The sequence below is a fragment of the Homo sapiens genome, chromosome 4 (assembly GCF_000001405.40).
Source record: "Homo sapiens chromosome 4, GRCh38.p14 Primary Assembly".
Taxonomy (NCBI): Eukaryota; Metazoa; Chordata; class Mammalia; order Primates; family Hominidae; genus Homo; species Homo sapiens.
The window spans coordinates 39,519,181-39,535,029 of record NC_000004.12 but is presented as its reverse complement, the minus strand read 5'-3'; the positions used below and the strand labels follow the sequence as shown (position 1 = coordinate 39,535,029).

The following is a 15,849-nucleotide window of genomic DNA, read 5'->3' as shown; positions in this document are numbered from 1 at the left end:
TTCACTTTGACGCCCAGGCTGGAGTGCAGTGGTGCGATCTCGGCTCACTGCAACCTCCGCCTCCAGGTTCAAGTGATTCTCATGCCTCAGCCTCCCAAGTAGCTGGGATTACAGGTGCCCACCACCGTGCCTGGCTAATTTTTGTATTTTTAGTATAGATGGGGTTTCACCATGTTGGCCAGGCTGGTCTCAAACTCCTGATCGCAAGTGATCTCCCCCTTGGCCTCCCAAAGTGCTGGGATTACAGGCATGAGCAACCGCATCCAGCCCACATGATTGAATTACCAGGTCCCTCCCAAGACACATGGGTTATGGGAGCTACAAGATAAGACTTGGGTGGGGACACAGAACCCAACCGTATCCTTCCACCCCTGGCCCCTCCCAAATCTCATGTCCTCACATTTCAAAACCAATCATGCCTTCCCAATAGTCCTCCGAAGTCTTAACTCATTTCAGCATTAACTCAAAAGTCCGCAGTCCAAAGTCTCATCTGAGACAAGGCAAATCCCTTCTGCCTATGAGCCTGTAAAATCAAAAGCAAGTTATTTACTTCCTAGATAGAATGGTGGTATAAGCATTGGGTAAATATAGCCATTCCAAATGGGAGAAATTGGCCAAAACAAAGGGGCTACAGGACCCATGCAAGTCTGAAATCCAGCAGGGCAGTCAAATCTTAAAGCTTCAAAATGATATCCTTTGACTCCATGTCTCACATCCAGGTCACACTGATGCAAGAGGTGGATTCCCATGGTCTTGGGCAGCTCCACTTCTGTGGCTTTGCAGGGTAAAGCCTCCCTCCAGGCTGCTTTCATAGGCTGGCATTGAGTGTCTGCAGCTTTTCCAGGCACACGGTGCAAGCTGTCGGTGGATCTACCATTCTGGGGTCTGGAGAACGGTGGTCCACTTCTCACAGCTCCATCAGGCAGGGCCGCAGCGGGGACTCTGTGTGGGGGCTCCGACCCCACATTTCCCTTCTGCACTGCTCTAGCAGAGGTTCTCCATGAAGGCCCCACCCCTACAGCAAACTTCTGCCTGGGCATCCAGGAATTTCCATATATCTTCTGAAATCTAGATGGAGGTTCCCAAACCCCAATTCTTGACTTCTATGTACTCGCAGGCTCAACACCACATGGAAGCTGCCAAGATTTGGGACTTCCACCCCATGAAGCAGCAGCCCGAGCTCTATGTTGGCCCCTTTCAGTCACCACTGGAGGAGCTGAGACGCACGGCACCAAGTCCCTAGGCTGCACATAGCATGGGGACCCTGGGTGCTGCCCACAAAACCACTTTTTCCTCCTAGGCCTCTGGACCTGTTGATGGGAGGGGCTGCCATGAAGACCTCTGACATGTCTGGGAGATATTTTCCCCATTGTCTTGGATATTAACATTCGGCTCCTTGGTACTTATGCAAATTTTTGCAGCCAGCTTGAATTTCCTCTCAGAAAATGGGATTTTCTTTACTATCACATTGTCAGGCTGCAAATTTCCCAAACTTTTATGCTCTGCTTCCCTTATAAAACTGAATGCCTTTTTTTTTTTCTTTTTTTTTGAGACAGAGTCTCAGTCTGTTGCCCAGGCTGGAGTCAGTGGCATGATCTTGGCTCAATGGAACCTCCACCTCCCGGGTCCAGGCGATTCTCCTGCCTCAGCCTCCCGAGAAGCTGGGACTACAGGCGCACACCACCATGCCAAGCTAATTTTTGTATTTCCAGTAGAGACAGGGTTTCACCATATTGGCCAGGCTGGTCTTGAACTCCTGACCTCTTGATCCACCCTCCTCGGCCTCCCAAAGTGCTGGGATTATAGGTGTGCACCACCGCACCCAGTCAAAACAGAATGCCTTTAACAACACCCAAGCCACCTCTTGAATGCTTTGCTGCTTAGAAATGTCTTCCACTGGCCAACATAGTGAAACCGTCTCTACTAAAAATACAAAAAATTAGAAGGGCGTGGTGGCGGACGCCTGTAATCCCAGCTACTCGGGAGGCTGAGACAGAATTGCTTGAACCCAGTAAGCTGAGATCAGACCATTGCACTCCACCCCAGGCGACAATGCAAGACTCCGTCACAAAAAAAAAAAAAGAAATGTCTTCCACCAGATACCCTAAATCATCTCCCTCAAGTTCAAAGTTCCACAAATCTCTCGGGCAGGGGCAAAATGTCACCAGTCTCTTTGCTAAAACATAACAAGAGTCACCTTTGCTCCAGTTCCCAACAAGTTCCTCATCTCCATCTGAGACCACCTCAGACTGGATCTTATTGTTCGTATCACTATTAGCATTTTTGTCAATGCCATTCAACAAGTCTCTAGGAAGTTCCAAACTTTCCTACATTTTCCTGTCTTCTTCTGAGCCCTCCAAACTGTTCCAATGTTTGCCTGCTACCCAGTTCCAAAGTCACTTTCACATTTTCAGGTATCTTTTCAGCAACACCCCACTCTACTGGTACCAATTTACTGTATTAGTCCATTTCCATGCTGCTGATAGACATACCCAAGACTGGGCAATTTACAAAAGAAAGAGGTTTATTTGGACTTACAGTTCCACGTGGCTGGGGAAAGACTCACAATCATAGGGCAAGGAAGAGCAAGTCACATCTTACATGGATGGCAGCAGGCAAAGAGAGAGAGCTTATGCAGAGGAACTCCTTTTTTTTTTTTTTGGAGACAGAGTCTTCAATTTTGCCCAGGCTGGAGTGCAGCGGTGCAATCTCGGCTCACTGCAACCTCCTTCTCCCAGGTTCAAGCAATTCACTCTGCCTCAGCCTCCCTAGTAGTTTGGATTACAGGTGCCCACCACCATGCCCAGCCAGAACTCTTTTAAAAACCATCAGATCTCATGAGACTTATTCACTATCACAAGAACAGCACAGGAAAGACTTGCCCCCATGATTCAATTACCTCCCACTGGGTTTTAAGATGAGATGTGGGTGGGGACACAGCCAAACCATATCACAGCTACTGTGAAAGCAGAGTTGGAGGGTCACTTCAGCCTGGGAGGTTGAGGCTGCAGTGAGACGTGTTCATGCCAATGCATTCCAGCCTGGGTGACAAAGTGAGACCCTGTAAAAAAAAAAAAAAGAAAGGAAAGAAAGGCTTATGTTTTACCCAAACAATACCTTACTATGACTGGCTCTGTGTCCCCACCCAAATCTCATCTTGTAGGTCCCATAATTCCTACATGTTGTGAGAGGGACCCGGCAGATGATAATTGAATCATGGGGGCAGGTCTTTCCCGTGCTGTTCTTGTGATAGTGAATAAGTCTCATGAGATCTGATGGTTTTAAAAATGAGAGTTTCCCTGCACAAGTTCTCTCTTCTCTTGTCTGCTGCCATGTGAGACATGACTTTCACCTTCCACCATGATTATGAGGCTTCCCCAGCCATGTGGAACTGTAAGTCCAATAAACCTCTTTCTTTTGTAAATTTCCTAGTCTTGGGTATGTCTTTATCAGCAGCATGAAAAAGAACTAACACAGTAAATTGGTACCAGTAGAGTGAGGCACTGCTAAAAAGATATCCAAAAATATGGAAGCAACTTTGGAACTGGGTTAACAGCCAGATGTTGGAACAGTCTGGAGGGCTCAGAAGAAGACAGGAAAATGCAGGAAAGTTTAGAACTCCCTAGAGGCTTGTTAAATGGCTTTGACAAAAATGCTGATAATTATATGGACAATGAAATCCAATCAGGTGGTCTCAGATGGAGATGAGGAACTTGTTGGGAACTGGAGCAAAGGTGACTTTTGTTATGTTTTAGCAAAGAGGCTGGCGGCACTTTGCCCCTGCCATAGAGATTTGTGAAACTTTGAACTGGAGAGAGATGATTTAGGGTATCTGACAGAAGAAATTTCTAAGCAGCAAAGCATTCAAGAGGTGACTTGGGTGCTGTTAAAGGCATTCAGTTTTTAAGGGAAACAGAACATAAAAGTTTGGAAAATTTGCAGCCTGACAACATGACAGAAAAGAAAATCTCATTTTCTGAGGAGAAATTCAAGCTAGCTGTAGAAATTTGCATAAGTAAGGAAGATCCGAATGTTAATCACCAAGACAATGGGGAAAACGGGCATGTCAGAGATCTTCATGGCAGCTCCTCCCATCACAGGCCTGGAGGTTTAGGAAGAAAAAATGGTTTTGTGGGCCGGGCCCAGGATCCCTCTGCTGTGTGCAGTCTAGGAACTTGGTGCCTTGTGTCCCAGCTGCCCCAGCTGTAACTAAAAGGGGCTGAGGCATAGCTTGGGCTATTGCTTCAGAGGGTGGAAGCCCCAAGCCTTGGCAGCTTCCACTTGGTGTTGAGCCTGTAGGTACACAGTAGTCAAGAATTGAAGTTTGAGAGTCTCCACCTAATTGATACAAAAAGCAGATAAACAGGCCAGGCATGATGGCTCATGCCTGTAATCCCAGCACTTTGGGAAGCCAAGGCAGGTGGATCACCTGAAGTCAGGAGTTTGAGACCAGCCCGGCCAACATGGCAAAACCCTGTCTCTACTAAAAACACAAAAATTAGCGTGATGTGGTGGTGCGCACCTGTAGTCCCAGCTATTTGGGAGGCCTAAGCAGGAGAATCTTTTGAACCTGGGAGGTGGAGGTTGCAGTGAGCTAAGATTGCACCACTGCATTCCAGCCTGGATGACAGAGCGAGACTCCGTCTCAAGAAAAAAAAAACAAAAAGCAAAAAACAAAAAACCAGATAAACAGAGAAAAATTGAACTGCCATTAGAGAAGACGGGGAGATGTGGGAACCCAGAGCCTTGTCTTTAACTTCCTACTGATTCTCTATCCTCACAGATTTCTGACACACTACCAGAGGATTCAGGGCTCCATGAAACATAATTTGAAAATAACTAGCCTACCTTGGCAGTTCTCAAAGTTTGTAGTATCAAGACCCCTTGGCATGTTTAAAAATTGAAGACTCAAAGAAGTTTTTTTCATGTGGATTGTAACTATTGGTATTTACCATATTAGAAATGAAAACTGATAAATTATATATAAAAGATTAATTCCTTAAAATTGACAATAAGCCCATTACATGTTAACATAAATATCATATTTTAATGAAAAATTACTATATTTTAAAAACAAAAGATAAGATTGGCATTGTTTTACATTTTTGTAAATCTCTAATATCTGACTTAAAAAACAGCTTAATTCTATTTGCTTTGATAGCACATTATAGTCTCCACAAAACTTCATTGTACACTTCTGAGAGAACAAGAGTGAAAAAAGCAAGTAACACATGAAAACTTTTTGACCTCATGGATCCCAGAAAGAACCTCGGAGATTGTCTACAGTCCCCAGCTCACATTTGGAGAACCTCTGTCCTAAATCCAAAGGTCCATTCTAGCTGGCACTGAAAATTGACTTAATTTCTGAAATCCTATTAACCGTTTTGAAGAGTCTGATTCTACCAAAATACTAAAAAAGAATGTGAGGTGAATACTAAATAGAAAAATGTTGAATTCAAAATGAAGGGACTAAGATAAGTGGTTTTTATTACAAAGCAAACTGTATTAGATAACTTAAATCTATGTATGTTCAAAAAGATGTACTTGTCATATCTAGTGCAATTACTTGTTTACATATCTCTTCTACCCAACCTGTGAGCTTTGCAAGAAGGAAATGAGTCTTTTTTGTTTGGTTATTTTTCTGAGACAGTGTCTCGTTCTGTTCCCCAGGCTGCAGGGCAGTGGTGTGATCTCGGCTCACTGCAACAGGGAGCCTCCTGAGCAGCTGGGATTACAGGTGCCCACCGCCTCACCCGGCTAACTTTTTGTATTTTTAGTGGAGCCGGGGTTTCACCATGTTGGCCAGGCTGGTCTGGAACTCCTGACCTCAGGTGATCCGCCCGCTATGGCCTCCCAAAGTGCTGGGATTACAGGCGTAAACCACCGTGCCTGGCCAAAGGAATTGAGTCTTAATCCCTTTTGCATCTTCAGTCTTTAGGATAACGTCTGACACACAACAGGCATTAAATATTTGTTGGATGAATGAACTGAACTGCATAGAATGCAGAAAGCCTACATATACTGGCCAGGCACAGTGGCTCACACCTGTAATCCCAGCACTTTGGGAGGCCGAGACGGGCGGATCACCTGAGGTCAGGAGTTTGAGACCAGCCTGGTCAACATAGCAAAACCCGGTCTCTATTAAAAATATAAAAATTAGCCGGGCATGGTTGTGGGCGCCTGTAATCCCAGCTACTCGGGAGGCTGAGGCAGGAGAATCGTTTGAATCTGGAAGGAGGAGGTTGAGGTGAGCCGAGATCGCACCACTGCACTCCAGCCTCGGCGACAAGAGGGAGACTCCGTCTCAAAACAACCAACCAACAAGCCTACATATCCTGCCACACGTGCTACAATCCACAGCAAACTGTTTCATCCACATTCAACCACTTTCTTAAAGTCACCATCATGATCCTATCAAGAAAACCGTAATTTATATGGTATTTTAATGTGCCTTTATAAATTACTAATCACTTTCTTCATGATGTATGTTAAAATGGCTTATGTCACCTGATGTAATCCTTAATGAGGGAAATAAAAGGCCATGATTATGCCTGGCTTTTTTTCTTATATGTTAGATTTGAGTGTTAAAATGACCTCGAAGCGGCGAAAGAAAGGAACGGAACTGCCCTCCACATTAAAAATGAGCAGGCTCCATAGGTTAATTTTACTCTTCCTCACGCACGGCACTTACATGTTGCAAACTCTCTGCTCCACAGCACGCACAGACATCCCAAATCCCGGATTGGGCCTGAGGAACATCTCTGCAAAGAGCGCCAGGAGGGCGTGGGGGTCCCGCCTCTCTCGCCAGGGACCAGGGAGTGGACACTCACTGGTCCAGTCATGAGGAACTCAGCATCCTCCTGACGGGAGGCGCCTCTTTCCCAGAAGCGGTGGGTCAGGAGGAATCTGACTAAACCCTGGGTTGCCGGCCCGGAGGGCGCGGTTGACCCCGGGGCCTCGAGGTTGTGGGCGAGGAGTAATCCGCCCGCCGAGACCGACCCGCAGATCCAGGAGACCGAAACCCGAGGGCGGCGCTCCAGGGTGCTGAGGAGACCGGAAAGGCGGCCAGGACCTTCCGGTCGCCTCGGCCCACCACCCACCCAGTGTCCGCGCAGCCCTAAAGCCTGGCAGACGCGGAGCGCACGCGGCCTTTGCCTCGGCCAGGACAGGGCAGCGGGGAGAGGGCTGCTAGACAACAATTCTTGACCCCTCCTCGACCCACGACCGCCAGGTAGGCGCGCAAAGCTCCTACACCTGCGGCGCGCCCCCGTCCCCTGGTCCAGCGGACACGCCACGCACGCAGCCCCGCCCAGCGCCGCTCGCGGTAGGGGCGGAGCCGCTGAGCTGGCCAAAGCGGATTTGCCCAGCTAGGCCAGGGGCGGGGCAGGCCCTCCCAGCCAGGACCAGCCCCAGTCTCCCCGCCCCTGAGCCGTGAAGGAAATAGGGACCTGGCCCTGGGCCTTGTGTAGCGGGAGGGGGAGCTAGGAAGCAGCTGAGGGCAGAATCCAGGAGGGCCTGGCTGCGGGGGAATGAAGCCTCCGCCTTCGCAGGCAAAAGCCTTTAAATACGGGCTCAGGCCCGGGACTCAGAGTGTAACGCGTGGCAGCCTGAGGGAGGGGCGTGCGCCGAGAGGGAGCTCAGATCGAGCGGGGCGCGGGTGGAGAAGCTGCGGCGGCGCGGCCCGTAGGAAGGTGCTGTCCGAACGATCGGGATAGGAGCGGTCCCTGCGCTTGCTGCTGGGAAGTGGGTAAGCGCCGCTCCCAGGCTGGCCCCGCCGCCCGGGCGGGATGCTCCCAGGTCTGGGCGGGATGTGGAGGGAGCGGGGCTGGGGTGTGCGCGCTGCTCCCGGTCGCTCGCTGCGCTGGGTCCCGGGCTTCCCGTCTCACGACCTTCGTCTCTTTGGGGCTTAGGGCGGGAACCGCATTTTGGAACTGCTGTCCTGGGGATGTGGTCGTCTGGGCTTCTTATTCAAGACTCGTGAGTCTTCCAGCCCCTTCTCTTTCTGCCTTTACCCACTTTCCTGACTTGGATGAGATTTCCCTGCCGCCTCCAAAGCCGAACGCCCACCACAGGAAGCGGTTCTCTCGTTGGGGACCTCATTTTGGCCGCAGAGTCGTAGTCTTTTGTTTGTGTTTAAGAGTCTGCTCACCTGAGGGGCTCCTGCTTTTCTCATGCCGCCCCTCTTAAGAAACCAAAGAGAAACGAAGCCAGAAAGCCCTCTTGAGAGCAAAATACTAAGACTGCCGTGATATCTGTCCGGGATGTCCTGGAATCCATTGTTGGCCCCCTACACCACAGAATTGCTCTGTTTGATGTCGGGGAAGGCCTTTCCTGGGTGCCTCGGGAGACCATGTTTGTGTGAGATCTTGAAAAATTATACGTCCTATAAATATATAGGAAGATAACTTAGTAGGGTTAGGAATTCTAGTATAGAGAAAAGAGGGGTTCGCTGGTAGGGATCTATTCATGGGCATACAGAGCAGTAGCTGTCTATCGACAGACCTCAAAGACACAGTGAGCCTTTGAGTTTCTTCAAATCCCTTAAGAAATGGAGAACAGTAGTCTTTCTTCAGGGGGGTTCTGGAAATGAAAGAGCTGACTGTCTGCTCTGAGATGTGCTTATTAGTGGCCAGGATCCAGTTTAAGGTAAGGGGTAGACAACCCTGATTGAAAAGATCTCATTTCTTCTCCCGTTGCTGTACTCCTTTTTCTAACAAAATCTATAACTGGATAAGCATAATCCATCTTCCTTCTTGTTTACTTCCACAGCTTTACATGATAACCCTTAGACATAAAATTAATACCGGCTTTCTTACTGATTAAATATTTTTCTCTGGTCAGGCATCTTTTACTGTTTAATTTCTGGAAATGATTAAAATGTGTGAAGCTGATGTATCCAACTATAATGCCCATCGTTAGCTCCTGGGTACCTATGCAAAATATGCTGTAGAGAGCTGGGGCTAGAAGGATTATATTCCGTTTAGATTGTAGTAGGGCATTTGTTATTTGTTAGTGACCCCTTCTGGGTTGGAATGTTTATTTGAATTTATGAAATTTTACATGAAGAGTAGTTTTGGAACGGTTTGGTTTGTTGTGACTCTCCCAAAATACAGAGGTAAAAACTCATTTCAAAATAACCCATTTAATAAGGAAACACTCCTATGTCTCTGACAGCAGAATAGAGGGCCAGAGGGTACATAAAAGTAGAAATAGAAAATGGGGGCCGGGCGTGGTGGCTCACGCCTGTAATCCCAGCACTTTGGGAGGCCGAGACGGGCGGATCACGAGGTCAGGAGATCGAGACCATCCTGGCTAACATGGTGAAATCCCGTCTCTACTAAAAATACAAAAAAAAATTAGCCGGGCGTAGTGGCGGGCGCCTGTAGTCCCAGCTACTCGGGAGGCTGAGGCAGGAGAATGGCATGAACCTGGGAGGCAGAGCTTTCAGTGAGCCGAGATTGCGCCACTGCACTCCAACCTGGGCAACTGAGCGAGACTACGTCTCAAAAAAAAAAAAGAAAAAGAAAAGAAAATGGGGCTGGGCGCAGTGGCTCACGCCTGTAATCCCAGCACTTTGGGAGGCCAAGGTGGATGGATCACCTGAGGTCAGGAGTTCGAGACCAGCCTGACCAATATGGTGAAACCCCGTCTCTACTAAATATATAAAAACTAGCTGGGCGTGGTGGTGGGCACCTGTAATCCCAGCTACTCGGGAGGCTGAGGCAGGAGAATTGCTTGAACCCAGGAGACGGAGGTTGCAGTGAGCCGACATGGTGCCACTGCACTCCAGCCTCGGTGACAGTGAGACTCCGTCTCAAAAAGAAAAAAGAAATAGAAAATGGAGTTGGCAGACATCTGTGTCATGCAAAGTGTGTCACTAACACTATGTCAAACTCCATGTTAAAGCTTATTGAAGATTTTATTGAAACTTCCAAGTGAGCATTTATTTGGACTTGCACAGATTGTACATCAGCCTTTTCATTGATTCTCCCATTGTCATCGGTAAGCCGTATTTCATGGGAAATAGCAAGGCGAGAATACCCAAAATAAAGCTTGTGTAAAACACATCCAGTTCTGTGATACAAGTTCACCTGCCATCAGTAGTCTATCCCAGCTGATGTATGTAAAGCAAGTTGAAATGTGGTCTCACAATCAAGGCAGATAAGAAGTAACTCTGGGGAAACATGCTGAAGTTCTTTAGGTAACTCAAAAAAAGAACTTGGCCAGATGCGATGGCTCACACCTGTAATCCCAACACTTTGGGAGGCTGAGGCAGGTGGATCAACTGAGGTCAGGAGCTTGAGACCAGCCTGGCCCACATGGTGAAAACCTGTCTCTAGAAAAAATACAAACATTAGCTGGACATGGTGGCGGACACCTGTAGTCCCAGGTACTTGGTACTTGGGAGGCTAGGTGGGAGACTCACTTGAACCTGGGAGGCGGAGGCTGCGGTGAGCCCAGATTGTGCTGTTGCACTCCAGCCTGGGCAACAGAGTGAGACCTTGTGTCAGAAAAAAAAAAAAAAAGTTGATAGTATTCTGGTCAATTACTGCAAAAATACTATGATCGGCAATCTGAACTAAAGCTATTTACACAGAAGTCTTCATCTCAAAAAGAGACGCCCTTGTGGAGAGTTACTCATTCATTCAATTAATAATCATTGAGAGGCTGCTATTCTAGGAGTCAAGGATACAGCAGGGAGCAGCAGCAAATAACTGTTAGCCTGGCTGTGCCTTATTAAACTATGAACTCCTTAAGCCCAGGAGCTGCAACGAGTAGACACTGATTCTACATTTAATAAATGTGTTAGCAGAACCTGTCCTGGTTGAGATTAAGAGTAAAGGCTGCCCTAATAACCTTTTGGCTAGGAGATTAAGTGGTAACCCTAAAAGATCCTCTGGTCCAACATTACTTTGAGATTCTACTCTTTAGGTATTCTAGATATACTGGGTTTAATTAAGTGAAAAAAGCCAGGTGTTAATAGTATATATGGTATTCTATTGAATTTAGAAAGACAAGATTATTAGAATATATATGTATATTTACTTGTAGCTGGGAGGATATACAAGAAAACGGATTGCTTGTGTGGAAGCAAAGTAGGGGATAGCAAAGTAGATAAGGAAGGGGTTGGAGTGAGACTTCTCATGTGTACCTTGTTACAACAGATTTAATTTTGAACCATATGAACATTATTCAGAATCAATAATTTTTTTTTTTTTTTTTGAGATGGAGTTTCGTGCTTGTTGCCCAGGCTGGAGTGCAACATGGCACGATCTCAGCTCACTGCAACCTCCGCCTCCCGGGTTCAAGCGATTCTCCTGCCTCAGCCTCCCAAGTAGCTGGGATTACAGACATGTGCCACCATGCCCCGCTAATTTTGTATTTTTAGTAGAGATGGGGTTTTGTCATGTTGATCAGGCTGGTCTTGAACTCCTGACCTCAGGTGATTCAGCCTCCTCGGCCTCCCGAAGTGCTGGGATTACAGGCATGAGCCACCGTGCCTGGCCAGAATAAATAATTTTTAAAAATTTATTTCATATGGCTAAGAATACTATTTGAATACAGATTCAAATAGAATACTGTTCTATTTAATTGAATCATATAATTCAAAATTCTGTCCATTTTTACTATTTTACCAAAGTTCTATTTCTTTTAATTGTTTTTTAAAAGTCATGAGGGGCCTGGCACAGTGGCTCGTGCCTGTAATGCTAGCACTTTGTGAGGCTGAGGCAGGCAGATTGCATGAGCTCAGGAGTTCGAGACCAGCCTGGGCAACATGGCAAAACCCTGTCTCTACTAAAAATACAAAAATTAACCTGGTGTGGTGGCATGCACCTGTAGTCCCAGCTACTTGGCGGGCTGAGGCACGAGAATCAAACCCAGGAGGCGGAGGTTGTAATAAGTGCAGCTGAGATGGTGCCACTGCACTTCAGCCTGTGTGACAAAGTGAGATTCTGTCTCAAAAAAAATAAATACCGTGGTGGCTCATGCCTGTAATCCCAGCACTTTTGGAGGCTGAGGCGGGTGGATCACGAGGTCAAGAAATCCAGACCATCCTGACCAACATGGTGAAACCCCATCTCTACTAAAAATACAAAAATTAGCTGGGCATGGTAGTGTGTGCCTGTAGTCCCAGCTACTCGTTAGGCTGAGGCAGGAGAACTGCTTGAACCCAGGAGACGGAGGTTGCAGTGAGCCGAGGTCACATTGTACTCTAGCCTGGCGACAGAGCAAGACTCTGTCTCATTAAAAAAAAAAAAAAAAAGTCATGAGGGATCAGACTCCATGAGTTGATATCTATACCACTAAAGATCAATGCATAAGCCAGATTGGTAGTTTATTAACACAGGCTACAAACAATCCAGGATACCTACATGGATTAGTCAGCTCATTTTCTTCTAGTAGGGAAATCTATCCAGAGAACCAAACGAAAATTTAGAATATTGTTTAATACAGATTCAAACCAAAAAGAATTGGATAATCTTAATTATATGATTTGTCTTTTTTCATAATAGGGATATTCTTCTTGCCAGGCATTCAAATTAGGCCAGCCTTCCAGAGTGCGTTCTCTGATCCATACAGGAGTATACTAAAAAATTCTTAAACTCTCTGATTACCATTTTCCTTCTCTTTGGAATCTGTGAATGGGTTAGATTAGATGATGTCTGAGGTCTTGGCAAGGCAAAACCATTCTTTGCTTTTAAGAATCTGATCAGTTTGACAGTTCTCATTATAACGGATAAATGAGCATACTTATGTATAAATCAGTTCCTTGTCATTTTGATTAGTGTGAATCAGTTCACCTAATGCTTTTGAAAATCTATCAAAATCTGTGTAACCCACTTTTCTGCTGGCATTGGGAAGGAAAAAAATCTGTGTAACAGCTTTGGTAATTACAGAAATTACATTTTCTTTAACCACCTTATGGTTTCTGATTAAAGTTGAAATGGAGTTTAAGATTATTGCCTAGTACCTAAAAGTAAACTTTGAAAGCCAAAGTAGTGTGTAGGGCATATAATCTCATCAGAGGCCAATTCTGGACTGTGGAACTAATCTTATTCTATATCATCGTAATCTAAACCTGTTATAAACTCATCTTTGTACACTAGCATTTATTTAAGCAAGAATCGTACAAGTATGTTCATCCTGGAGCTTTCTCTCAGCAATCAAAGTTGTCCTAGTGTATTATAGACCTAAGGAAGGTTTTACTTTGATTCTTTACTTTCTAAATATTAGGTCATTATAATCTTTGTGGCTCCCCTTCAGTAATATCAGTTACTGTAATTATTTCCATATGTTTCATGCTAGTGCAGCTGAGAACAGGCTAGGTCATCCAATTGGAATGTTATTTTTTAAATCACTATTTCCATAATTCCTCAGAGCGAATGTAGGAAATCTTTCCAGATATCTGTCACCTTGACAGTTTTTATAAAGTATAATTAATGTACAATATTATTTCTTTAAATTTTCTGTTTTCAATACTAGAACAGTCTTACTGTTTTCCTTCTAGTACAATCATGTTTGAAATTAAGAAGATCTGTTGCATCGGTGCAGGCTATGTTGGAGGACCCACATGTAGTGTCATTGCTCATATGTGTCCTGAAATCAGGGTAACGGTTGTTGATGTCAATGAATCAAGAATCAATGCGTGGAATTCTCCTACACTTCCTATTTATGAGGTAAACATATTAAACATCTCTTTGTTTTTATGCTTTTTTCTTACTGTCTTTATTATATCATTTATATGCACTATTAATATAAAAATCTATAACAGCAACTGGTAAGAAATTAAATGAAAAAAATCTGGATACAAAACACATGGACATTAAAACACATTACTTCGGGTAATGTGGGTAGGAAAAATGACCAGAAAGAAGTCTATCAGAATGGTGTATTAGTGCAGTGAGATTATGGATAATTTTTTCTCTTTCCTGTTTTCTTTTTTTTTTTTTTTTTTTTTGAGACGGAGTCTTCCTCTGTCGCCCAGGCTGGAGTGCAATGACGCGAGCTCAGCTCACGGCAACACCCACCTCACGGGTTCAAACAATTCTGCCTCAGCCTCTTGAGTAGCTGGGATTACAGGCGCCCACCACCACACCCAGCTAATTTTTGTATTTTAGTAGAGGTGGGGTTTCACCATGTTGGCCAGGCTGGTCTTGAGCTCCTGAACTCAGGTGATCTGCCCGCCCCGGCCTCCCAAAGTGCTGGGATTACAGGCGTGAGCCACTGCACCTGGCCTTCTTCCCTGTTTCCTAATTTTGTCTGTTAGTATCATTACCATATTATAATAAAATTAAAAAGTGGTATCCTGTAAAAATAAAATAAATACAACTTTTAATAATATTAATATAAATTTAATATATTTTTGGATTATTTTACTAACATCACATAAACATTAGATGGACAAATGGCATCTTTCATATTTAGAGTTTGGTGCCACAAATATTTTTAACTGGAATTTCAAAATTTTGTGAATTTAGAGAATTTAGAAAAATATGCTTCTAACTATTTTACTGAGCTATCTGGTTTCCTTTTTTTTTATTATTTCACTGTAAAATGAGTTCATCATATTATGCTTTTGAAACTCAACAGAAAAGCATTTGCAAATTTGATGGTAGCATTTTCTAGCTAACATTAATATGTTTATATTTTTCCCCAAGAAAAGCTTGGTTATTTTTTATTTGTTTTTTGAGACGGAGTTTCACTCTTGTTGCCCAAGCTGGAGTGCAATGGCCCGAACTTAGCTCACTGCAACACCTGCCTTCCGTGTTCAAGCGATTCTCTTGCCTCAATCTCGTTAGTAGCTGGAATTATAGGTGCCCACCACCACTCCCAGCTAATTTTTGTATTTTTAGTAGAGACGAGGTTTCGCCATGTTGGCCAGGGTGGTCTTGAACTCCTGACCTCAGGGGATCGCCCCTCCTCGGCCTCCCAAAGTGCTGGGATTACAGGTGTGAGCCACCATGCCCGGCTGAAGCTTATTTCTTTATGACTATTATCAACCATAGACTTTAGTTGCCTTAGACTTTTAGAAGGAAAGTCTCAATCCAGTTTTATCTCTAAGATAGGTCTGCCTGCTATCTATAGGAATATAAGATATGGAAATCTATGAAAAAGCATCTATAGACTAATAGTCACTCAAAAACACAGATTTACTTATTATATCTGAATCAGATTTAGGATTGAAATATTGGCGGCACGGTGGCTCACACCTGTAATCCTAGCACTTTGGAAGACCAAGGCAGGCGGATTACCTGAGGTCGGGAGTTTAAGACCAGCCTGGCCAACATGGTGAAAGCCCGTCTCTACTAAAAATACAAAAAATTAGCCGGGTGCAGTGGTGCGCACCTATAATCCCAGCTACTCGGGAGGCTGAGGCAGGAGAATCGCTTGTACCCAGGAGGCAGAGGTTGCAGTGAGCCGAGATCACGCCATTGTACTCCAGCCTGGGCTACAGAGCAAGACTTCGTCTCAAAATATATATATATATATTACTACTATATTTGGTTTAGGGTAATTTTTAAAAATGTTTTAGAAAGATAACTTGATGGTGAGTTCTATAATGCTGATATTGATAAAAGGGTTGCAAGTCATTTGAAACCCCATAAACCATACTTATATCCAAACATTCAGTAATGAATTCTGCCAGCAGTGTATTCTAGTCTTCACAAATAAGCCAGGCATGGTGGCATGGCCTTGTAGTTCTGGCTACTCAGGAGGCTGAGACAGAAGGATCATTTGAGCCAAGGGTTTCAAGTCCAGCCTGGGCAACATAGTGAGACTCCCATCTCCAAATTAAAAAAAAAAAAATACGGCCAGGCACAGTGGCTCACACCTGTAATCCCTGCA

General features: G+C 45.0%; 1 protein-coding gene and 1 long non-coding RNA gene across 5 annotated transcripts in view, besides 3 other annotated features; one reads left to right on the top strand and one right to left on the bottom strand.

The window, feature by feature from the left end:
* The window catches only part of UGDH-AS1 (UGDH antisense RNA 1), a 66,869-nt gene extending 59,678 nt beyond the window's left edge, over window positions 1–7,191 (bottom strand). The window contains exons 1-2 of the long non-coding RNA NR_047679.1: window positions 6,692–7,191; window positions 2,900–3,061 (exon numbers count right to left, since the gene is read on the bottom strand). This is a non-coding gene — a long non-coding RNA (UGDH antisense RNA 1). The remainder of the gene's footprint in view (window positions 1–2,899; window positions 3,062–6,691) is intronic.
* Window positions 6,707–6,766: an enhancer, noted in NCBI's record as "active region_21460". NCBI's record gives its function as "activates an Ori minimal core promoter by ATAC-STARR-seq in GM12878 lymphoblastoid cells {active_cell/tissue: GM12878}" and the evidence as "EXISTENCE:reporter gene assay evidence [ECO:0000049][PMID:35858748]".
* Window positions 7,147–7,446: a silencer, noted in NCBI's record as "silent region_15370". NCBI's record gives its function as "represses an Ori minimal core promoter by ATAC-STARR-seq in GM12878 lymphoblastoid cells {active_cell/tissue: GM12878}" and the evidence as "EXISTENCE:reporter gene assay evidence [ECO:0000049][PMID:35858748]".
* Window positions 7,591–15,849, top strand: part of UGDH (UDP-glucose 6-dehydrogenase) — a 28,685-nt gene continuing 20,426 nt past the window's right edge. For 2 of the 4 annotated variants that reach the window (NM_001184700.2, NM_003359.4), the window contains exons 1-2: window positions 7,591–7,747; window positions 13,511–13,679. In NM_001184700.2, the coding sequence (NP_001171629.1) occupies window positions 13,518–13,679 (162 nt within the window). In that variant the 5' untranslated portion in view covers window positions 7,591–7,747; window positions 13,511–13,517. Of the gene's footprint in view, window positions 7,978–13,510; window positions 13,680–15,849 lie in introns of all 4 variants that reach the window. The other 2 variants (XM_005262667.4, NM_001184701.2) reach the window with 2 other exon arrangements.
* Window positions 7,697–7,876: a silencer, noted in NCBI's record as "silent region_15369". NCBI's record gives its function as "represses an Ori minimal core promoter by ATAC-STARR-seq in GM12878 lymphoblastoid cells {active_cell/tissue: GM12878}" and the evidence as "EXISTENCE:reporter gene assay evidence [ECO:0000049][PMID:35858748]".